Here is a 25,125-nt window from a genome sequence, read left to right as displayed (position 1 = left end):
AGTTGTCTGCTGGAATGCAGTTCTCTAAACGTTTTACCAGGGCTACAAGATCTACTTCGAAATTGGCTTATTCGTGTGGCTGAAATATTGGTGTTCGAACATTGGCTCTTCTCTATGTCATTTTTCTCAATGGGAATGCTTGAGCATTCTCATGTGGTGGCACCTGACTTCCACCGATGCAAGTGAAAGAAATCAAGGAAGTCAAACTGTCTTATCTTCTGTACTGTACTGATCACGCAGACTAGCCCTGTTCAATGTTGGAAAAGGTCTAAACAAGGGCATGTTTATAAAAAGAATTATTGGGTGGCAACTTGGAGGCTGGTTACCACAATGTGACAATGTGCCATGTCTCTAATGCAAGCAAAAGCACTAGCCTGCTCCAAATGGCCCCCAAAAGATAGCATCTGTTCAAAGTTCAAGATTTTGTTAAATAAATCAGATCCAGGTGCAGATGAGACGCTGCAGGTCTCAGGTGCACTTCCTCAAGCACAGCCCCTCCGGTATAGTTCCTCTTTCTCTGAACATATGCAAACTCACCCAACATACAGTGGTATGGCAGATATGGAATAACAACCGTAGACCCTCTCATTCAATAAAAGGAGGAAACAGAAGGCACGTAAGTGTCACTGGTCTATACAAATCCTGAAAAACAACAGGGCACATATTTGAAGGTCTTTGGCTGGAATCATTCATACCGCTTCCTGGGGTTGATCCACCAGTTCCTTCCTGTGAGATGTGCCCTTTGAGTCATTCTTCCTTTTTCTAATGAAATGCCCCGTGTTTGCAAGTGAGATGATTTCTCATCTTGTTTTCTGACTGTGATACTTTGGTGGTCCAAAGATGTCTTTTAATTTTTCACTATCTCTGAACTTTTGAGCCAAGCTATAGGTGTTTCTGCTCATATGATCTCTTTCAACTTTGTGTATTTCTTATGTATCTTATTAGGGCTCACTCCATTACACAAAAGTCACAGTTACAAAATTCATCAAGATATGTCTTTCTCTACCTCAGACATCTATTGAGGCTTCTGAAAGACATTGTCTTCATAATCCTTTTAAGCCCTACTTTTTAATGTATGGGATCTGTGAAGTATCTTTCAAAAATTCTAGAGGACTTAGAACTGCCTGAATAGTTCTCTGAAGTATCATCTCAGGTATTTCTGAGGTCTTAGCAAAGGATTTTATTTTGAGACCATATTTTCTTGAGTATGATCTACATTTGTTTTTCATTGTTTCTTTATTGTAGTATCATTTGCTGTCTAGAAAGGCTGTGAAGAAACAAAGTTTTATTTTTGAATCCAACAAATTCTGGCACCTTTATATTTTAATACTCCTTTAGCTTATCTGTCTCCTCTTTCTTTTTTTTTTTTTTTTTTTTTTTTTTTGAGACGGAGTCTCGCTGTCGCCCAGGCTGGAGTGCAGTGGCGCAATCTCGGCTCACTGCAGGCTCCGCCCCCTGGGGTTCACGCCATTCTCCTGCCTCAGCCTCCCGAGTAGCTGGGACTACAGGCGCCCGCCACCTCGCCCGGCTAATTTTTTGTATTTTTAGTAGAGACGGGGTTTCAACGTGTTAGCCAGGATGGTCTCGATCTCCTGACCTCGTGATCCGCCCGCCTCGGCCTCCCAAAGTGCTGGGATTACAGGCGTGAGCCACCGCGCCCGGCCTCCTCTTTCATTTCAGTATACGTAATAAGAAGTCAGAAATTACCTTTAACCAAGCCTGGAAATCTCCTTATCTAGATCATTATATTCTTTAGGTACATTTTTTACTTTCTACATTACCACACACAACAATATTGCTAAATTTTTTCCTCTAAATAAGAAGGATTCCCTTTTTCTAATAACACTTTCTTTATTTTTCTTTAACCTTTCACTGAAAGCCCCCTCAAAAGCTACCTGGCTTATGCTAACAGTATGTTTGATGTCCTTTCAATACTACTCTGTTTCCATCTGTCTAGCATCCACCTGCCTCCCAATCTCAAAGTCTCCATCATATTTTGTCAGTTTTTAGTTTTTTTGTTATGGTGCCCTAAAAATCCATCCCAGCCATCTATTGCTGCATAACAAATCCCCCTTAATTTAATGGCTGAAAACAGTACTGATCATCTATTATGTCCCATGGTTTGCAGGTATTGAGAATTCAGTAGTGTTTTGTTCAAGCAGTTTTAGGACAGGGTCTCTCATGAGGCTGCAGTTGGGGGTTGACTGGCTCATTTCCAAAACAGTATACTCATGTGGTTACAAACTGGCTCCTCTCCATCTGGATCTCTCTGTGAAGCAACCAAAATGTTCTTACGTCATAGAAGCTTTGTTCCTCCAGAGTGAAAAATCTAAGAGACAACGACAGAGACTGCCACGCCTTTTATGACCTAGCTTTCAAAGTCACACACCAAGATGTCTCTTGTATTCTACTGGTCATATGAACCTATCCTAATCAATGTGACAGTGGACTCTACCAGACATATCTACCAGGACACACAGATCACTGGAGGATGTATTGCAGATTAGCTACCACACCTGTGATCTCCTTAACGTGGCCTTTGCACCTCCTTTTTTGCAGGTCAGTTACTTTTTCCACAACCTGTAGAGATACGTGAACACTTTCATCTTCTCCCGGCTGAGGCTTCTTTATATCTCTAGTCAACCCTAGGGACAGGCCCTTACACGATGCCATGTGATACATCTCTGGTCTGTGAGAAACACAAGCACTGCCAGTTTCCAGCCAAATTTAAGAATTTAGCTCATACTAATACAGCCACACCTCCTCTGGCTTGTTACCAGCTAGACACCCCAACAAGCCAGGTCAGGCTCCTGTGTCTCCCACACTACAGGGACTCATGTCAAGCCCTCCATGTCTATAAGGTCCCTTTGAAGTCCCTTTCATCAGCCTTGAAATGAGGGCAGGCATCATATTAACCCTTCCCTAGAGGGCAAAGTGTGTTGGAGGTGGATGTTTTCACTGCATACAAAAATCCCAAATCACTTTTTCCCAAATCGTGCAAGAATCTCAATTCTTGATCCTATTATAACCTCCAAGAAGGCAGGAGAATTGAGGTCTTGAATGCATTCTCCTCCAAATACTTCTTGCAAGCTCTGCAGCTTGGTCTATCTCACTACTTACTTTGATATCGAATTTGTCCCCTTAGGGTTTGGGTCAAAATTTTAATTTTAACATCCGATCACAGGGAGCTGTGTCCTGAGCTGTGATTATGAATACCAGGAGCACATTTCATCTCTGCTGCCATCTGAGAGATAAGAACACTTCGAGGAATGTAAAACCACAGAGTCAAGGTTATAGTGGTATTTTTTGTCATTCATTAATACTATATTTAAATGGGACTAAAGATGGGTACATACAACCCAAAGTGGGGTGACTACCACCCTTTGGTTCCTTAATTTGTCCTGATAAAAGCAGAGTTTATATCCACAAAAAGGTGGAGGAAGGGGAATATTAAACAATGGGTTTTCTTTAAAACATTAAATTAGAACACATGAAATGGTCAGACGACATGTTAAAACACTACAAAATAGTTTGAATATTGACTTACAATGGAAACAAATACAAATAAATTTGAACACAATAAAAAAGTGATGATGACTCTGCTTTAAAATGGGTCCAAGTAGTTTTCCGGGGAGAATAACATATAAGTGTTTATCAGTTTGCCTAGACTCTAACTCGTTTCTTATTTGTGGTCTTTATGACATAATTTTCTATTATGCAGCTTGATTCCTTCCTCAGTTCTAGCAAGTGCTAATGAAACTTCCTTCCATCCCAGTCAAACTTTTATGGGAGTGGTGGTGAGGAGGAGATCCAATGACAAGGAATGAATGGTGCCTGGCCAGAAAGGTTTTGTAAAGTTCAGTTTGCTGCTGAGATCTAGAAACTTCAGCAGCTTTCTGGGATTAAGAAGGATGGATTTCCCCTCCCTGTGTCTATGTGTTCTCATTGTTCAGCTCCCACATATGAGTGAGAACATGCGGTGTTTCGTTTTCTGTTCCTGTGTTAGTTTGCTGAGAATGATGGTTTCCAGTTTCATCGATGTCCCTGCAAAGACCATGAACTCAATCTTTTTTGAGGCTGCATAGTATTCTATGGTAAGTGTTAGGACAAATACCTAAGGCCTGAGGGGCTTAAAACCTAGATGATGGGTTGATGCGTACAGAAAACCACCATGGCACATTTATACCTATGTAACAAACCTGCAAGTTCTGCACATGTACCCCAGAACTTGAAGTAAAATAAAATAAAATAAGGATGGATTTCAGCAATAAGTAAAGAGGGTCCCCAATTTACAATGATTTGACTTAGAATTTTTTGACATGAGCCTGATGCAAAAGCAATATGTTTTCAATAGAGTATTCAATAAATTACACGGGATATTCGACACTTACAAAATAGGCTTTGTGTTAGATCTCTTTGCCCAACTGTAGGTTAATGTAAGTGTTATAAGCACATTTAAGACAGGCTAGGCTAAGCTAGGATGCTCAATAGGTTAGGTGTATTAAGTGCATTTTTGACTTAAGATTTTTTTTCAACTTACAATGGATTCATTGGAACATAACCCCATTGTAAGTCAAGGAGCATCTGCACTGTTGTGGGGTCTCAAACGGTCAGATCAGGAATGGGTGAAGGCAATTAGGCCAGGCTGACTCCAGGCAAGTAAAAAGAACAAATTCTGACTTTTCAGCAGCATGGACACAGGAAACAGGCCCCAAGGATACCTATTTTTATTCAGACTTAGACTAAAGAACCGTTTTTCTTGACATTTCAGAAATACTGGAACACTAAATGCAATTTTTCTAACCAAATACCTGTGAAAACTTTCATTAAAATGTTATCATCAAACCAGAAAACATTTATTGCATATCTGATGCCATTTAAAAGCTTGAGGCAAAAACTTAAAATTATTTCAATATCTTTCATTACTGTTAACATTATATATTTATTATTTATCCTGATTCCTAGCATATCTCTGAGTTACACCAAGTAAACAACATAACCCATTAATTGGTTTAAGAATATTGTCAGAGTGGATTATTCGTAATTATATTTGCTGTATGAATTGGAAGGGACATTACTAGGACATGAACTATATGCTCTTTTCTGCATCTCTAGAACTAAATTAAATCAAAGTTTTAATAAGTTAGGCACATAACGGAAGTTCTGTTCATCTTTCAGGCTGATGAAAGACTCTCAATATTGTTACAAACAAAAGAACATGTAACAAAAAAACATGTAATAAGGTGTCTGAATTTAAAATAGTTTTAAGATAAAAATACATGGTTTTGAAAGGTTTGTAAATAAGTGAAATAATTCAATAAATATGTATATAGTATCTGTAGAAGAATCTTTTCAGGTTTTTTTCATTGCATTTTTATACCATGTAATTTATAGTGCACAAGAATGTTCCTTCACCCAATACAGATATTTTAGGGAAAACTCTAACATACTTAATCTCTTCTTGGATCACAAATTTGATTGCCATATGTAGTCTTTTCAAACACTATATTTGAATCCTACAGAGAATTAATACATCACTAACTTAAAATTCTATCGCATTTAGATAACTGTGGGGCCTTTCAAAGGACTTTCTTCTCTGATGAGAAATAGGACAGGTAGACTTTTACAATTACTAAGATTTTTTTCTGGAATTAGGACATCTTACACCTTGAAAAGAACTTTAAGTTTTAGGGTACATGTGCACAATGTGCAGGTTTGTTACATATGCATGGCACATGTATACATATGTAACAAACCTGCACATTGTGCACATGTACCCTAAAACTTAAAGTATAATAATAAAATAAAATTTAAAAAAAAGGATAATGTCCAAAAAAAGATCAGTGCTAATTAAAATAGTAACATCATTAACACTTAAAAGAGTACTACTTCAAAGGTACTACTACACTTAACATATTTTTATTCTTTGATAAAAACATGTTAAGTGTAGTAGTACCTTGCTTTTTGTTTTCCTGTTTTTGTTTTTTCTTTCAGAATGCTGCCATCTTCTGGTCAAATTATATCACTTCACAAACACAAGACTCGAAATAGGAGGCCAATAGATTTACACAAATTTCCCTTTTATCATTAGGCGCCACCTATTCAAGATTTGTGCCTCCAATGTTCCAAAACAAGAGACCTTTAAAGTACTGTTAAAAAAAATTTCAGAGGTTAAATCCACAGAAGACGTTTCATGACTTGTAATGTTATGAAAATATAGACGTTTCAGGGCTTGTAACGTTATGAAAATGTGTATCGCACAGTAAATGCACAGGAAAGTATAGATAAGGGAATATTTGACTTTGCTCTAGGTCTATAAAAATTGATGTCTTAGGATAAGGAAGCAGTTTTGACATATATTTGCTGTTTTCATTTCTACAAACTTTAATTTTCAAGGTTACTCACCTTGAAAGAGTATGTTTATAGTAGTTTATAAAAGCCGTTATTGAATAACTGTCCTCCTTACAACAAAGCAGACACTTGTGGCTGGCAAATTTCTTCTTGTCACAGAATTGTTCATATTTGTGACCATCTTTAGATTATTTATCAAAGGATATGTAATTTAAAGGGCTAGTTTTTATATACATATGCATGATTACTTCCAAATTCCACACTTCTACACTCATTCCTTTTCATTCACTCATTCATTGAACAAACATTGGAAATCTTATGTGTCAGTCTTTATGCTAACCACTAAATTCAAACAGAAATAAGATGCTGCCCTTGGACTTGAGAATTCACAACTGAGTGGATACCTTTAGCCAAGCCCTAGAAATCGTCACTGAAACACACTGTTCTCAACTTACTCCACCAAAGAGATTTTAATCTACCCAAACCAAGAACTAGTAAATCACAGTGCAAAAGTGTGAAGCATCCAAAAGATTCATTAGCTACTGCTTTTTGTCACTGGTTTCTACCAGATTTTTTTTCCTTCTCCTCTTTATATTTACAATCTGCTGACACATATAATCTATACCATATAGCCATGAAATCAGCCACAGTAACCAATTTTGAACAGGTGAAGAATCCTGACCCAGTGAAACCCATAGACTGGAGTCACTCATCAAGAGCTAGGATTAAATGTTGGCTCAAAAGAGCCGTCTGATCTTGCTTCAGTCACCTCTAACTCCTCTGTGGGTGAAAGCAGGAATTTACTTTTCCAAAACTTTGAAATGTTACCTGAAGCAGAATTCTACAGAAAGACACAAACTATACTGATAATTCTAAATTTCAACTCCCCCTTTGCTACTTATAAATCCAAAAAATCAAATCACTCTTCCTGAGCTACCCACCTGCCTTATTTCTTAACATTTCTAACTCTCTATTCAACAAAATCACACGTTCTACTCTAACCATATTGCCTTTCCCATATTTAAAATTGCCTGATTGAAAGGGTAGGTTGCAGGCAGGGAGAAGAGGAGGGGGTTCTACACCTCATAGATGGGTGGGATTCCGGGAGTCAACCATGTTTCTTATAGCACCAAGTCACGCAGAAGATTTGGTCACCAGAGTGCTTACTTAGAGGAATAGAGGAAGGAGAATGTTTGTCATTAGCAAATGCTTCCCGTTTGGACTTATTTCACTTGCAGCACCCCGCTGTTTTTCCCATTATTCAAAGAAAGCAAGTAAATAACTGCATGCATTGCTGTATGGTGTTTACTGGACAATGTGAAAATGTTTTCCATTTTCTCTGGAAGAGAAAATGGGAGCCAATACACAGACATGAAGCATAAGAAATCATGTGATCAGTTTCTCATGGCCAAACCATTTTCTTCAGCTAGCGGATGCCACGAAGACGATGTGGGAAAAGGTTTTCCTCTTTTTGGTGCTTTTTCTTGGAAAAGTAATTGGAGCAACATGATTTAAACTCTTTTCGGTTCGTGCATGTGAAAATATTAGGAGAAAATTTGAAAATCTACAAGTCACTCTCACAGGTATCCTAGATCTCCTTATTCCTTGATATTTTGTAGCCGATGTTGACTATATAGAGAGATATACATTTTTTCCTCCTGTATTCTTTTAACAAAAGCGTAATACTCTGCCAAATATTACTCCATAAAGTGGCATCTGTAGTTTATGTTCTTCTTTGAATTCAAATGATGGCCAAGCTTTGACAAATATAAATGATTCCTTTCTCATCTCACAGCAAAAAAATAAAAATAAAATAAAATAACAGTCATCATTGAAAATATTCAATTTAGATAGAAGATACGTATCTCAAAATAATAAGAGCTATTTATGACAGACCCACAGCCAATATCATACTGAATGGGCAAAAACTGGAAGCATTCCCTTTGAAAAATGGCACAAGACAGGGATGACCTCTCTCACCACTCCTATTCAACATAGTGTTGGAAGTTCTAGCCAGGGCATTCAGGCAGGAGAAAGAAATAAAGGATATTCAATTAGGAAAAGAGGAAGTCAAATTGTCCCTGTTTGCAGATGACATGATTGTATATCTAGAAAACTCCAACGTCTCAACCCAAAATCTCCTTAAGCTCATAAGCAACTTCAGAAAATTCTCAGGATACAAAATCAATGTGCAAAAATCACAAGCATTCTTGGCCGGGCGCGGTGGCTCAAGCCTGTAATCCCAGCACTTTGGGAGGCCGAGGTGGGTGGATCACGAGGTCAGGAGATCGAGACCATCCTGGCTAACACAGTGAAACCCCGTCTCTACTAAAAATACAAAAATTTAGCCGGGCATAGTGGCGGGCGCCTGTAGTCCCTGCTACTCAGGAGGCTAAGGCAGGAGAATGGCGTGAAGCCGGGAGGCGGAGCTTGCAGTGAGCCAAGATTGTGCCACTGCACTCCAGCCTGGGCGACAGAGCCAGACTCCGTCTCAAAAAAAAAAAAAAAAAATCACAAGCATTCTTATACACCAATAACAGACAAACAGAGAGCCAAATCATGAGTGAACTCCCATTCACAATTGCTTCAAAGAGAATAAAATACCTGGGAATCCTACTTACAAGGGATGTGAAGGACCTCTTCAAGGAGAACTGCAAACCACTGCTCAACAAAATAGAAGAGAACACAAACAAATGAATGAACATTCCATGCTCATGGATAGGAAGAATCAATATCGTGAAAATGGCCATACTGCCCAAGACGGAGTCTCTCTCTGTCACCCAGACTGGAGTGCAATGGCACTACCTTGATTCACTGCAAGCTTCACTTTCTGGGCTCAAGTGATTCTCCTGCCTCAGCCTCCTAGGACCAAGGATTACAGGCGCATACTACCACTCCTGACTAATTTTTGTATTTTTAGCAGAGATGGGGTTTCACCATGTTGGCCACGCGGGTCTCAAACTCCTGACCTCATGATCCACCCGCCTCGGCCTCCCACAGTGCTGGGATTACAGGCATGAGCCACTGTACCCGGCCTGGGGTGACATTCTTACAAAAGATAATTTTGGCCCCCTTCCCTCACTCATATACACTCTCTTGCCATGTAATGCCTTCCACCATATTATAAAATAGCAAAAAGGCCCTCACCAGGTGCAATGCTTGATCTTGAACTGCTTAGCCTTCAGAAATGTGACCTAAGTAAAATTCTATTGTTTATCAATACATTAAAAAAAAAGAATTTGAGATGGATTTGGCATGACCTTTGACCTCCTTTGTCAGAAGATAAGTCGAAGCTTGGATTTGGAGAGCTCCACTGTAGCAGATCTGAATCCATAGCAAACTACACAGCCACTGACCTTGCATTTTTATTCTGAGACCTATTTCAAGAGGCTCAGTTTAATCAAAAATTATACATTAAATACAGATACAGTTCATTCACTTATAGCATTTCCACACATTTCCTAAGCAGAAAATATCACATTATGAGTCCCTATAATTTGTCCTTCATTCACACTTTTTCTGCTTTATTAAAGGCTTTTGGAAAACAATCAAACTTAGATGACATCTTTGCAAATCTGGAAATTATGCCAAATTTTCCATAAAATGAAATAATACCGGATTTTAACATTATGAATATTTTATAAAGTAGAACATGCTTTATATATGAATGCAAAGCTTATAAGTTTTTCTCTTTTTTATTTGTACTAAGCCAGCTTTAAAATATTTACATTTTAATTAAATAATTGAACTAGCCTCTTTTAAAGACGTTCATGAAGATTCAGTGAGGTTATGGAAGTAAATCTCTTAGCAGAATATTCAAGGCACAGGGAGCCCTCTCCCAGTGACCATCATTTTTATATCTCAATTTATATAGTAGATGTACTTTCTGAAAGTAATACATACAATTATTTTTGGAGAATTGAATAAAATTTTAAATAATGTTATTTGCATGTTGTGTAAATCCTATGGCAAACTGTTTATTGGGCTGAATCAAATTCTGATATTTTCTGTACTAGGGTGTATTAAACAGACACATATATAATTGAGAAAGGGAACAGATCAGGACAACTGGGTTTAACTAACAAGATGAGGAGATCATCAGCCCAGAAAGGACAACTTTGTCCTGTACATCCGAGAATAAGATAAACAATGATTTATAATCAAGTATCCAGAAAGCCTGAAATATTCAACCTCAGGGAAAACCAAAAGATGAAGAAGGCTTTTATCATCAGGGAAAAGCCCACAGCACACTTTTGTATTCAAAATGACACTAATGAATGTGGTCATTATCTGGGAAGACAAGGATTAAGAAAAAGATTCATAATTCAGTCACCCGTTTGCACCCATCTTAAAAATTCTCATTTGGGGCCAGGCTCACCCTTGTAATCCCTGCACTTTGGGACATCTAGGCCGGAGGAATGCTTGAGCTTAGGAGTTTGCAGCTGTAGTGAGCTGTGATCGCACCACGGCACTCTAGTCTGAGCAACAGAATGAGACCCTGTCTCAAAAATAAAAAATAAAAATAAATTGTAATTTGGGTTTAGGCTCAGCCATGTCTGCTGCTTCCTGTAGCTACTTCCTAGCTGCTGTTCTCTGAGCCAACCCCTGGTGGATGCTGGGCATGGTGTTTGATGGCATTCAAATCTGTTGCCTTATTAGGAATATTCCAAAGAACATTTATTATAAATTATAAAGATATATATTTCTGGAAAATTTGTTTCCCTGCATTCTAAATAACTTACCATATAGGCCCTTTTCTATATAAATAAAACTCTTGTGCTAAAGAAAATATTAAGATGAGTTAATATAACTATTTCTTTTTAAATGGGATGCCTTGAACTTTCCACTATCAATGACGTGTTCCTTTTTACTCACAAAGATGAGGAAATAGTTTAGCGCTTAGTTAGAATATGACAGACAGTTCATGAACTGTATCTGATAACTGTAGTAACTCAGATGTCAGCAAGTCAGCCCCAGTGTTTCATCAGTGATGAATGCAAACACTTAAAGGAAGGATTTCTGCACTGTGTTGGCGTCTCTGAAGAACTGATGTTCTTCCATGTCAACACAGAAGAATTTGTTTGGACATTTTCTTGGAGTGCTAGTGAACTGACCACCAATCCTCAAACGGTTCTTCTGTTTGTGTACAAAATGGTTGTAAACAGGCTACTCATGGAAATGACCCTTTTTATTGATTGCAATTCTCTCTATAAGTGTTTGATCCTTATAAGCAATTAGTAAGGAAAGCATGATTTTGAACCTTTGGCTCGTGATTTTCTGAGACTTTTAGAATAACCTCTATATAAAACTAAATTATATCTATTTGGCCCCATTTTTTCCAGACATTTAGTTTTCTATTTCCCACTATCAAAGCCACACACACACACACACACTTTTTTTTGAAGAAATAACAAGTGAAATGTAAATGGTAACGAGTTGTGACTATTTCCTAATAAGCAAAATCTCAATTTGCAAGTCACATGCACGATGCCCCGATCTATTTTAATGTGTTTGGTGAATGCATTTTCAAGAGGATCTGGCTCTTGAGAAGGTACCATTATAGAGCCACAGTTTTTATTTTCTCCTTTTATGATATACTTCCTCAGTAGTGAACATCCTTTCAAATGCCCAATATTACCTTCTGGTCTGTACATTACATTTACTCATTCAATAATTATTGAGTGAGTGCCTACTGTGTGCCATGCATTGTGCTGGATAGTGGAGCTACAATAGGCTTCCTCAAGGAGCTCACAGTTAAACAGGAAACACACTAATGCACAGCCAACTCTAACTCAGGAAAGCCTGGAGTGGGACAGCACCATTCTTTCTGAGGGAATTAGCTGAAGGTGTTACACAATGGGTGCTCAAAAAATATTTATTGGATATTTAAGGACAGATGGATCTTTCCTGATGTAGAATGCCAAGGAAATAACTCTCCAAGCAAAAAAAAAAAAAGTCATTGTGAGCCAAGGCGTGAAGGTGCAAAAGTCCACCGCATGTTTGAGGACTAGCAGTTGGCTCCAATTGTCAAAGGTACATGGACTTACATGTTCAGAGCTGAGGAGCAGAGGCTGGTTAGAATCAGATTCAAAAGCATCTCCTACACTGTGACAAAGAGGAACTTGAAGAGAGTGAGAGAGACAGAGACAGAGAGATAGAAACAGAAAGAGAAAAACATATGTGCATTTTGGAAAACCTCTTTTGAATGGGGACAGAATACATTAAAATGACTTTAGGGAGGGAGACAATTTTGAAGGCTGTTCTGGAAATCCAGGGACAAAATGATGACGCCGAAACTGAGGTAATAGCAAAGAGGAAGAGGAGGCATACATGGATTCAAGATACACATTAAGGAAATAATAAAGTAACTTATTGGATAAACAGAGTAAAGACAAGGAAAAAAACAAGACCACAGAAAGATTGAGCAACTAGGAAAATGATGGTGCTTACCTTTGTCATCCATTTTTCCTTGATCTGAAAACAACCCAAATTTCCATTTGAGGATTTCCCCCAATAATACTTAGTTCGTATGGTGTGGCAGGGCTACCCTCAAGAATAGAGTACGTCACCCACATCAGAGCCATTAAACACTGCAGTTCCCTTGGCCAGGATCATGTGTAAGTGTGACTGTGTGGCTGTGTTGTGGTGGGGAGTAGGGAAGGCAGGGATCCACTCGTCCTAAGCTAGTCCAATGAGGGTTTGAACACCAGAAACTGCGTGAGAGGCTGTCTCCCTTGCATTGGATTTAGAGCAACAAGAATATGAGGCTTGGGATGCTGTACACATCTTGCCACCCCAGAAAGAAAACCTAAGAACGTAGCCAAAAGAAAAGCAGAGCTTAGTGACAGAACAAAAAGGAGCATGTTTTGGTGACATTAGCTGAGCCCTGATTTCAGCCACACCTGAAGCCAGCCCTACAACTGGACTTTTCAGTTATGCACGTTAATATGCTTAGGCCCTTTATGGGAGGAACAGCCCTCACTCACAGGAACATCAAGGATAATGCCTGGGAAGCAGTTTAAATATCTCTGTGTGGAGCTCCAAGAAGAAGTCTGCCCTGGAGTGTAACCCACAGACAGGTGGTTTTAGACATGAGATGAGCACACAAGTGGCAAGAATAAAACACTGAGAGAAAACAACGGGGAGCACCAACATTCAGTCAGTCAGTCACTCAACAAATGCTCATCAAACACCTACTGTATGTCAAGTAGTGGATCCGTGAACAGAATGGACATTAATTATGAAAAATAATAATTTTTAAATCCCTGTTTTGTTAGAGCTTATAGTATATTGAAGAAAAAACAAACAAAATATAAGTAAAATATTCATTGCCTTTACTAATGATATGCTCTAGGAAGAATGGGTGAGCTGTGGCCTTTAGACAAAGTGATCAAGGTAGGCTTTACTAAGAAGGTGACATTAGGTTTTTGAGTAAAGTTTGGAAGGAAGTGAGAAAACAAACAATGTACATACCTGGAGAAGGGCAAACTAGATGTTCTGGGAAAAGCCACAGGAGGTCATTCTTCTGGGGCCAAGTGAGCGAGGAGGAGTGACCAGTCCCAAAGACCTCAGAGGCCTTGTAGGGACTTTGACTTTTTTTTCCTTTTTCCATTTTTTTTTTTTTTAAGTTTTAAATCTGACTTTGACTTCTATTCTGAGTGAGATGAGAAGCCAGGGGAGGGCTCTGAGGAGACGATCGGAGAGCCGACTTGGGGTTCAAGTGGACCACTTTGGCTGTGTGTTGAGAACAGCTTATGGGCACAAGAAGGGGGATCCAGGAGACCAGGCAGGAGGCAAGTGTAACCCTCCAGGCCAGAGAGGATGGTGTCTGGACCAAGGAAGTAGCTAGCAGCAGTGCTGGTAAAATTGTTCTTATTCTAGATGTATTTTTAAGGGAGAAAAAAACAGGGGTTCTGATGAATTGAACATTGTCCATAAGAGAAAGAAAGAAGCCAGGGATGACTTCAGGGCTTCTGCCCGAGCTACTAGAAGAATGAGAGAACTCATCAAAGGAAACTGAATTGGAGTGCCCAAAAAATTAGGAGAGAGTACTGTTGCAGAAAACAATCATTCAGACGAGGAGATGAGAACCGAAAATTGCCCATGTGATTTAACAACAAAAGAAAAAGCAGCCTCTCATGACTTTGGTGAGAACATTTGTAATCTTTTTTTTTTTTTTTTTTCGACCCAGCCAAAAATACTGGACGTGCGAGACTATGAAAGGAGGTATCAATAGGTTAAATAGAAAGAATGAATCTATTAGAAGTTCAACCAAATTCAACAACTCCACTCTATGGCATGACAGGAGAGAGACAGAAGGTTAAGACACAGCACATGTTCTCTAGGCCTGTAGGCACTTACAGACTATTGAGGATGCAGGATGGACATATGAATGGAAATAAGGTGAACCGTGTAATCATAGCACTGCCCTGAATGTTCTTATTCTCTAAACATCATCAAAGGCTGAGGCAATCAGATCATTTGAGGTCAGGAGTTTGAGACCAGCCTGACCAACATGGTGAAACCCTGTCTCTACTAAATATAAAAATTAGCCAGGCATGGTGGTGAGCACCTGTAATCTCAGCTACTTGGGAGGCTGAGGCAGGGGAATTGCTTGAAACCAGGAGGCAGAGGTGGCAGTGAGCCAAGATCACACCGCTGCCCTCCAGCCTGGGCAACAGAGTGAGACTCCCTCTTAAAATAAATAAATAACCATCATCAGAGATGGACTGAGCAGGAAGAACATCACTAACATCCATATCACTTATCCTTACTTGGAAGAAACTTGTTTATTCTAGAAACTGGAAACCATAAACATCCTTCCCTTCCGTGAGGGCTCTTTCACCTAACAACTCAGAGTATCTGTGTTTCCACCAGGCTGCCAAGGTTAACCTATTAGGAATGATGCATGTCAACTTGGTACAAATAACTGTGGCTCAAATGGAAAATTCTCTCTGACAGAACACTGGCATTCTGTAAGAACTTTTTTTTCTATGCAGAAAAAAAAAAAAAAATTTAACTGCCTTGGCTTGCGTTTTCCCTTGGGTAATATCTCACTGTAGCAACCTCAAGTCCTTCATGATTTCCTTGGGGCAAATGAGAACTTGACCTTCTTGTTGTGCTGCTGCCTGAGGTGCAAGGCAATGCTTTAATCAACAACAGACATCTTTACTATGAAGAGGATGCCAAGTTTCCAGAAAGAAGGATGGAAAGCGGGGGAAGGGAAGAAAGGAACGTATGAATTTGAGTTTGGTAATGGAAAATATACTGTCCTAGGAGATAGAAGACATGGTGTCTGAGGGCCCTTTATCAAGTTTGAGACATTAATCTCTCAATTTAAAGTGGGGGTCAAATCTAATCTGTTTAAAAATTCCCAATTATGTCTTTCAACAGAAGAGCTCTAACTTTCTTTTCCACTTTACATATTACTGGATTAAATTCAGCTGTTTGGAACACAAGGGCCTCTTGAAGCCAGGGTCAAAGATGTAGTCACTGCTTTAAACACAGAACTTCACCATTCCAGAAACCATTCCCAGCTCCAGAGGTATAGACACTCTTCCAAACCCCACACAATTATTGGTCATAATTGGGATTTGAAGAGAGTCTATGTTTATTTCTGTGAAATTCCTGTCTAAGCCGAAAAACTTCTCAAGGCTCTTGTCCTAATCTTACTATCTCATCCTCATTTGCAAATGTAACTTGAAGAATCTCTTGAAACCTCTCCTGTCTCACTTCCTTGCCCTGGTGCTGGCAGACTGGCCAAACCTGCAGAATTCATCCTGAAATTGACCAATTTCAGATGAAACAAAACACAAAAGAGAAGAATAAACTGCAGAGTACTTCACTTCTACTACAGAGTATTTCACTAAACATCACAAAGTGCCTGATATGATGACTTCAAAGGATACAGGAAAGATTCAGTGTGCTAGACTATGTAAAGAAAACACACCCTTCACAAAAACAAATAAGCACGTCTTTGTCTTATTTTGTTTTGTTGTTGTTGTTGTAATCAAGAAACAAGGTTGTACAAAAAAACAATTCATGGGAAGATCTTTGGTAGGTGGAGGCTGCTTTTTGCTTTTCTTCTATTGGGCCCCCTAATGACGATTGAGATATGCAAGCTAACATGTAGGCAGCACCTAAGAACAGGAGGCTGTCTGTACTACAGGATCTTTAAGGACAGTGTAGAATCACTGCCAGCAGTTCTCTGTGTTAGGTTTCCTCACAGTTCATGATCTGGATGGATTGAGTGAGATGCATTTCACGTCCTGAGTTATAAACCCTGCAGGTCCCCTTCTCCTTGTAAAACTGATCAGATCTAGCCTTGCAAGACCCAAGGTATGACAGCAGCCAGAACGAGTGACCAGGACTAAAGTAGAAACCCAAAATTAGAAAAGAGTAAAGGATTTTAAGGAGAGAGACACAAATACACTGAGTGTCATCTGGCCTCTATTCTCATTTTTAGCATTATAAAATACAGAATACAGCCTCCAGGGAGACATGGAGAGGAAAGGGAAAGGAGGCAAAGTTCGTGGTTGGGAGAGTGAGTAGACAGGAATGAGGGTTGAAAAGTGTGCCCCATGCACGCAAGACAGGAAGGAAGGAAGTGATGCAACACATCGAGGAATGCAAGAGCCCAGCAATTCCACAGAGATGAGTGTGTGTGGGAGAGCCCGGCCAGAAGGGAGAATGACTGATGGGAAAGCTTCTGGAACAAAGTACAGCTGGGTGGCCTTCGACCCAGAGGGGAAAGGGAGACCTTGGTCTGGAAAGATCTTTCCTGTGTCTGAGGATGAGCATAGAGCCTTCACTGAGTCCTGAGAGGGCATCCGAAAGGAGAGAAATGGAGAGAAGACCTAGTCAGGGGAAGTTTCTGGCCCAAAATTTATATCTGCTCTAACCAAGCAGATTTCTAAATTTTTTGTTGTTTGAACTTCTTGTCTGAACTTGGGAACAAGAACACTGAAGTATAAGTCAAGACCTCTGGGTTCTTTCCCCAGCTTTTCTGTTAATTTGCTGTGGGGCTTTAACTTGTTGGGTTTATTTATCCTCAAAGGCTAGAATATCACTCATAGTGTTAACCATAGAACCTCCCCATTCACACACCTACCATGTGCCCACAAAGAACCTTCCATAGACTGCAAGTTTCATGGGGCCATGGACAGTGTCCATCTTAATCACTACGATATCATCATACTTAGGACAGCGCCAGGCATGTAGTGGATGCTCAACAGACATTTTCTCAATGAATTAAAGTAGATTACAATCCAGAAAGCAGATGAAAGCAGAGTTGTCCTGGCAGGAACAATAGGAAGCCCTACTATTTTCACTGCCCCTTCAGCCCTGGGCTCCCAATAGGAATTCCAGGACTAGGAGGAACCCAGTGTTAAACAGCTAGCTGGACGAGCCGTAGAGGCTTCTCTTCGAGTCTATAATTCTGTGGTCTTTATGCAGCACTTGTTGAGCTGAAAGCATAGAAATTAATCTTGTTTGGTCCAAATTCACCTGACTGAAGGATCACTTTTCCCACTTCACCTTCTAAAGTCCTAGTCTTTAAACCTTCTGGCTGGTACATTTTCCCCTCTCTTTGCGGAAGATGAAAGCATTTTTCCAGACAGGCCTGCTGTGAGTGACTTCAGGGAAATGAATATCTTGGGTCACTTAGGTGCCTCTCATATGGGGAACTCCTTGTATATATTTATTTTTAAGAATAGGGCTGAGAGGTTGACATTTCCATTAGCAGTTGAGTGATTTTTTTTAATTTTTTTAAATAACAACCCTATTCCTCGGTGAGACATGCCTCACATTCCGCTCTCCCCACTGCAGGCAGTTATGTGCTGCTAAATATGCAGTGGAAATGACACATGTCTGGAAACCCAGAAGGAGCACCGTCTCACCACGGCTCGCTCAGTGGTGCACAATGAAAGTGCTGTAAGTGCTTCATTAAGCAAGGTGGACTCCAACATTCTCAAAAGAGAAATTGGTAACATCTCATGCATCTGGCATTTGTCCCTCCAACGCATTCACAGGTGTCTTCTGTTTGAACTCTGGTCACATCTAGAGTAGGATAAAGGCACAGGGTCACCTGACTTTCCAGAAGATCCTGGAACTATCATAGTATCTGCAAGTGAATTGAGGCCAGTAGTTCCTCCTTCAAGGGAGGGGAGCTGTGCAGTCACTTACCACCAAAGGCGTGGATCAGCTCCACGTGCACCTTAGATAATAGTAAGCCCTGTGGACATCTGACTCACTGCATTCAATAGCCTAGCATGCTTTTGTTCTAAAGGATAGATATAATCAGTCTAACTCAAAGTATTTTTCTCCTAATTTAAGTCCACAAAGGAATCCCTACAGGGTATTCTCTCGACCTGTGCAAAGTCCAGTAACAGGATAGAGGTTGTGACATGGAAATTTAAAATGGAATTTGATTTCTAAGGACTATACTACGGGAATACAGATTGGATTAAATGTAAATGAAGTATTAGAACAGCAAGACACGTGTCCTAGTTGAAGAAAGTGTTGCAAGTCTGTGGGCAAAGATTTACCATGCAATCTCAAACATACCAAGAATTTAATCCTTGGCAAAAGATGAGGGTCCTTTTAAGGACAGAAAACAAACATTGCAATTATATTTTAATAAACTCAAATGAGTTTCTTAGTTGGCAATTTATTTTTATTGTTTTGATGGTTTGTGGGTAAATGAGTTAGAAATATGAGACGACTTTCCTTAAAATATACATGTTTTTACTAAGTTAGGGGAAAAGTTTGGTTTTGATTGGTCTTTGAAAGGCTGACAAAGATGTCTATAGCATGTGATAATTTTAAAAATCACCTATTCCTAGTCCAAAAAAGGGAATCCATGTAAGCTTATGTGCTTGCATGGTTCATGTACCAGTATGTAGGGTCAGTAAACAAAAGGGGAGATAGAAGTATCATTATGCAGGCCTGCTGTGGTGGTTCACACCTGTAATCCCAGCACTTTGGAAGGCCAAGGCGGGAGGATCACCTGAGGTTGGGAGTTCGAGACCAGCCTGAGCAACATGGAGAAATCTGTCTCTGCTAAAAATACAAAATTAGCCTGGCGTGGTGGCACATGCCTGTAATCTCAGCTACTCAGGAGGCTGAGGCAGGAGACTGGCTTGAACCTGGGAGATGGAGATTGTAGTGAGCTAAGATCATGCCACTGCACTCCAACCTGTGCAACAGAGCAAGATTCCATCTAAAAAAAAAAAAAAAAAGTTTCATTACCCAGAGAACTGGAAACTTAAAAATAGCTTTAACTACGAAGAGGGAGCAAACTAGGTAAGCAGATCTGAAGAGGAAGGTGATGGGCTGACATTCTATGTAGAGTTCAGTGTGTTACTGAAGAATCTGGACAAGAAATCTTCTTCTTAGTTGTTCTCTGGCTTTCCTTGAACTCCTTTCTCTCTTTCATTCTCCTGCCTCTTTTCTCTAAAGCTGAAGTCACATGCATGCGTGTGCACGTGCGCACACACACACATACACACACACCCCTACCTCTCCCTGCTATCACTCAAGTTATAACAAACAAAGAAACCACTGTAGGAATTTCACATTTCAAAGAGCTTCTTAGAGCGTAGAAAGAGTTAAGGGAGTGTGTACCTTTATACCTGGTTTTCTTTAGCCAAGTAAAGCAAATGGCACACAAGCATACAGCTTTTGTTCTTGATGGCTCCAGTTATCATTTTGGTACCAAATCTAAGATCCAAATGAAATCCAGTTTTGCAATCACCAAATACTGAGAAATGTTTCAGCATGCTTGGCGACCTTAGATTTTGCTGGACCTACAATGGAAAATAAAGTTGTAGGATATTTTTGCATGCTGGTGATTTTTTTCCTTTTGGTTTTTTTTGTTTGTTTTCAATTTTATGGGGGAGAACATGTAAAAATACCTTAACCAATGACTTTAGGTTCTATATTATTGTAAAACAATTTACAATAATTTGCTCTTCACCTCTCTCATGCCTTCTGTGTAATAGACAGAACAATAACTTTTGGAAAAAGAGCTAGGTTCAGTTTCCACTTCTGTCACCAGCTTTATGACCTGAGACCAATTTGTTATCTGAGCTTCAATGTTGTTAATCAATTAAACAGGCATAATGCTAGGTTCTGATGGACACCATAAAGTTTAAAAAAAAAAAAAAAACACTGCAAATGCTTAGCATTCACGTATTCAATGACATATACTAAGTCTCCACAATATGCATGCTCTGAGAACACAGTGCAGAAACAGACAGAAAGCAATGACTCTGCCCTCAGGGAGCAAATATACAAGTGGCAGAAAGATAACAAACTACAAAGAAATCCAAATTAAAATACAGAAATACTTTCAGGTTAGTTCCATGGGCTCTCATGTGTAGACATTAACAGAATTAGTAATTTACAAATATTTGTGTGATGTTTGTCTCATTAATGTTTACATCCCCCACAAAGTGTAGGCTCTGTGATGGCAAAGACCAATATTGTATGCCCATATCTAGCACACAGTAGAAGGGTAATGCACAATTACTGAATAAATGAATGCACGCATTGTGATAAGGGAATAGAAAGATGTAATCGAGAAAACAGAGATGTGGGGAGTAACATTGGTAGGATGGTCTGGAAAGGCCTCTCTAGGATGCTGGAACACTTAAGTGATGAGAAGAAGCCAGCCATGTGGTTGGAAAAAAACAAAACAAAACAGAAGAGAATTCTAAACAGGAAATATCCGGGGCAAAGGCCCTGAGACAGGAAAGACAGTAGAATGCTTAGAGAACGGGAAGGGGCCAGTGTGGCTGATGCAGACACCAGAGACAGAGATTATGGTAAATTTGAGTTTTATTGTAAATATAATACAAGTTCCCCTTCCCTCTTCCACACCCCCCTTGTTTATAGTTTTGTTTTAGTAACAAGATTAACATCCATTGAAAAATTAGGCAACAATACTAGATAATAGACCATTAATTATGAATTGCAAGAAACAGATGTCCACGTTCAGGAGTGGAAGGGATGTGAGCTAATGAAGGCAGGAAAGGTTAACCGACATAAGAGTTTCACTCTAATTCCAGGCACTGCCTCAAAATCATTCCACTATTGGGCACTTGGATCCCCACCATACAGAGTGCCCGGGAATCTAACTGCAACCAGACAAATGTCCTAATTTCACGCTTTGCTGCCTCCTCATTGGCAGATGTCAAAGAAATTTTTCCAAGCCAGACTCTATGATGTCCCCAAAACACTGGGCTCTTTCTCCAGTTTTACTGGTGAACTTCCAGTAAGTCATCTAAGCTGTATTGCTCAGCTTCCACATCCTATGAAGTGTCATCGAGGTCATCTTCCCTGCAGATGTTGTCTTCAGCTTCCCAGACTCACTCTGTAGACCAGTATGTGCCAACTCCTCTCTGCCTTGCAAAATGGTTCCAATTAAGCCACTGCTCCCACTTTCCTCCTTCAGAGCCTGAGGCTGGAAAGTTCTGCTGTTTTCTCAAGTTTAGTGGTTGACATCTATTGTGTCTGGCTGCTCTTTGACTCCACTTTTGAATTTATTTCTTTGGTTTTGGGAAATTCTGTCCTTCCTCTTCTTCCTGCCTTGACTATATGGGAAATCTGTCTCAGCTTGGCCTAGCATTCAGATCACTATTTAGCCCAGTGCCCAGCACCTAATGTCATGACTTACTTATAGAAGATTATTGATATATGTACTAAATAAGAAGTTAGGCAGCAACGCCTACTGTCAGCCCTTTTCAGTTCTTCCTTGAGCAAGAAGCTTGATTCTACTTTTTCTTACCCTAACAGAAGGGACATTAGATTTTGGTAGGGAAAACTTGTCTAAAAGTTCATAAATATCTTGTCCAGACCTATCTTTGAAATATAGGAAATAATAATATGTAAAGGGGACTTTTTAAACACATTCTACTTATTTAAAATGATACCTAAAATGTCCATTAAGTAACATTGAAAATACCTACACTGGAGCAGGGCGTGGTGGCTCACCCCTGTAATCCCAGCTACTTGAAAGGCTGAAGCGGGAGGATAGCTTGAGAACAGCAATGCAAGACCAGCCTGAGTAACATAGAGGAACTTGTCTCAAAAGATAAAAAAGAAATTAAAAAAAAAATTAGCAGAGCATGTTAGCATGCCCCTGTAGTCCCAGCTGCTCAGGAGGTTGAGTCAGGAGGATTGCTTGAGCCCAGGAGTTCGAGGCTACAGTGAGCTATTAAGATGTTTGCACCATTTCACTCCAGCCTGCACGACAGGGTAAAATCCTGTTTCTTTCTCTCTCTCGTTTTGTTTTGTATTGTTTTTCTGAGACAAGGTCTCACTCCGTCGCCCAGGCTGGAGTGCAGTGGTATAATTAAGGCTCACTGCAGCCTCAACCTCCCTGGCTCAGGTGATCCTCCTACCTCAACCTCCTGAGCAGCTGGTACTACAGGCACATGCCAACACACCCAGCTACTTTTTGTATGTTTTTGTAGAGACAGGGTTTCGCCATGTTGCCCAAGCTGGACTTGAACTCCTGAGCTCAAACATTCTGCCCGCCTCAACCTCCCCAAGTATTGAGATCGCAGGCATGAGCCGCTGCAGCCAGCCAATATTGTCTCTTTAAGAAAAGGAAAATACTTGTTTTCTAATATTAAGGTGAAAAAGAAAAAAAAAAAATAATGTGTATAAAACATGAGCCCAGCCATGCAAAACAATTAGCATTGAAAGAAGGAAACAAACCAAACTGTTGACAATGTTTGTATGTGGGTAGTAAGATTATGAATTTTATTTTTTATTTTTTTCATTGTTTTCTACATTTCATATTTTCTAAGACATGGATTACTTGTATGATCAGAAAATTACATTATTTATAAAAGAAAAAAAAATCACACTATGCAACCAAAAAACACAGAGTAAGTCTTTCCTTGCTGATTCTCAGTGGTTCTCAACCTCCAGCATATTAGGATTAACTGGAGAATTTATAACAATCCCAATGCCCAAGCCCAGCGCTGTATCAATTAAATCAGAAACAGAAACCCAGGCATCAGTATTTTAAGTTTCCCAGGTGATGTCAATGTGCAGCCATGGTTAAGAACTACTAGTAGAGGAAATGGGTAGCTTAGATCAATGGTTTGCAACCCTGGCTACAGTGATAATCTCGTGGGGGGCTTTTATAATACCAATATATGCTCCCTAATACATTTCTGATTTCAGTTGGTTTGCAGTGAGGCCCTGGCAGTGGTAGATATTAAATTTCTCCATGTGATTCTAATGTGCAGGCTGGTCTATTGAGTGTTCGTTCTGTGTAGAGCTCTGTACTGAGTGTTTTATGTACATTACCTTATTTAATTCTCAAAATAGTACAACCAGGCAGGTATTATCTTCATTTTACAGAAGAGGAAACTAGAACTCAGACACATGAAATTAATGTCTCAAGGAAACTCAGCTTGCTTGAACCCAGCTTGTCTGTCTCCTGTGGGGATAGGCAAAGAAAGAATTCTACCCAGTTGTGTGGAAAGCTTTATAAATACTATAATGCGGAATCCAACATACTCACTTTTAAAATGTCGATGGAGTAGCTCTTTATAAATCTTATTAACAAGTGTCTCATTTCTGTCAAACCCTGTCAAGTGTAAATGCATCTGCAATATCCTGAACATTTATGATTTTCATTCCATAATGGCCTGAATAGCATGAGAACTTAAATAACTTCCAACCTGTTCAAAGTTACAATCACATCTCATCGCTTAACTTTATGACACCACCCAACTTCTCTGGTGAAATCATAGTATGGTTCCTATTCATTTTATTTTATATCATTTTATGTCATTATTATATATAACAAGCAATTAAGTATACTTTGAAAATTCCTTAAATGATTTTGCAAGATTTCTTCAGTAACTGGAAGCATTCTTGGATGTCATGAAACTACCCTTATGATTGCTGTTGTAGACAAATGTCACATCACTGGATTTGTGGAGTTTCCTTTCCAATGCATCGTTTAGATTGAGCTGTACTTTGCTAAACCAGCTTAAAGTAAACCCCACCTCTTCCAATAGTCAAGATTCCCACTAACCTCAAGCAGAGCCGCAGGTGCATATTATTAGCAGAACTGGACTCTTTTCACTTATAATTTGAGTCCCAAGTCTTTTGAAGTAAGACCCATTTGCCCAGATTTGTATAGCATTACCTGAGCGTAACATTACCCAACAAAGCCAAATTGATGGGTTAAGGATACAAATAAGGAATTCCGAATCAGCTTATGAGGCAGGTTTTGTGAGAGAGGAGAGAGAACACTGCTTAGAAAAAAAAGTTTGTAGGATGGGTGCGGTGGCTCACGCCTGTAATCCCAGCAATTTGGGAGGCCGAGGCACTGGATCACGAGGTCAGGAGATCGAGACCATCCTGGCTAACACGGTGAAACCCCATCTCTACTAAAAATACGAAAAAATTAGCCGGGCGTGGTGGCGGGCACCTGTAGTCTCAGCTACCTGGGAGGCTGAGGCAGGAGAATGGCGTGAACCCGGGACGCGGAGCTTGCAGTGAGCCTAGATCGCGCCACTGCACTCCAGCGTGGGCGACAGAGCAAGACTCCACCTCAAAGAAAAAAAGTTTGTAACTGTCTTGCTTTTGCAGAATAAAATAGGCATTACTTTTCAAATAGTGTTGCCTAGGGATACCTTCCAGCATTCACAAACATGCTATGTAACATAGTCTGATTTTTAATAACTTTGTCACTGAGTATATACCTAAAGAGAAAGTAAAGAAAATGGCCATCTCTAGTGCTTGGGT

General features: G+C 39.7%; 1 protein-coding gene across 6 annotated transcripts in view, besides 1 other annotated feature; it reads left to right on the top strand.

Annotated features, from left to right (window-relative positions):
• Positions 1-25,125, top strand: part of DLC1 (DLC1 Rho GTPase activating protein) — a 521,260-nt gene that overhangs the window by 220,731 nt on the left and 275,404 nt on the right. The window lies entirely within an intron of this gene.
• Positions 16,356-17,555: an enhancer, noted in NCBI's record as "BRD4-independent group 4 enhancer chr8:13223844-13225043 (GRCh37/hg19 assembly coordinates)". NCBI's record gives its function as "activates an origin of replication core promoter dependent on BRD2, P300/CBP, MED14 and CDK7 cofactors, and independent of BRD4, by STARR-seq in HCT116 cells {active_cell/tissue: HCT116}" and the evidence as "EXISTENCE:reporter gene assay evidence [ECO:0000049][PMID:35650434]".

The sequence above is a fragment of the Homo sapiens genome, chromosome 8 (genome assembly GCF_000001405.40).
Source record: "Homo sapiens chromosome 8, GRCh38.p14 Primary Assembly".
Taxonomy (NCBI): Eukaryota; Metazoa; Chordata; class Mammalia; order Primates; family Hominidae; genus Homo; species Homo sapiens.
Note: the sequence above shows the minus strand (reverse complement) of the source record. Positions and strands in the feature narration are given on the sequence as shown.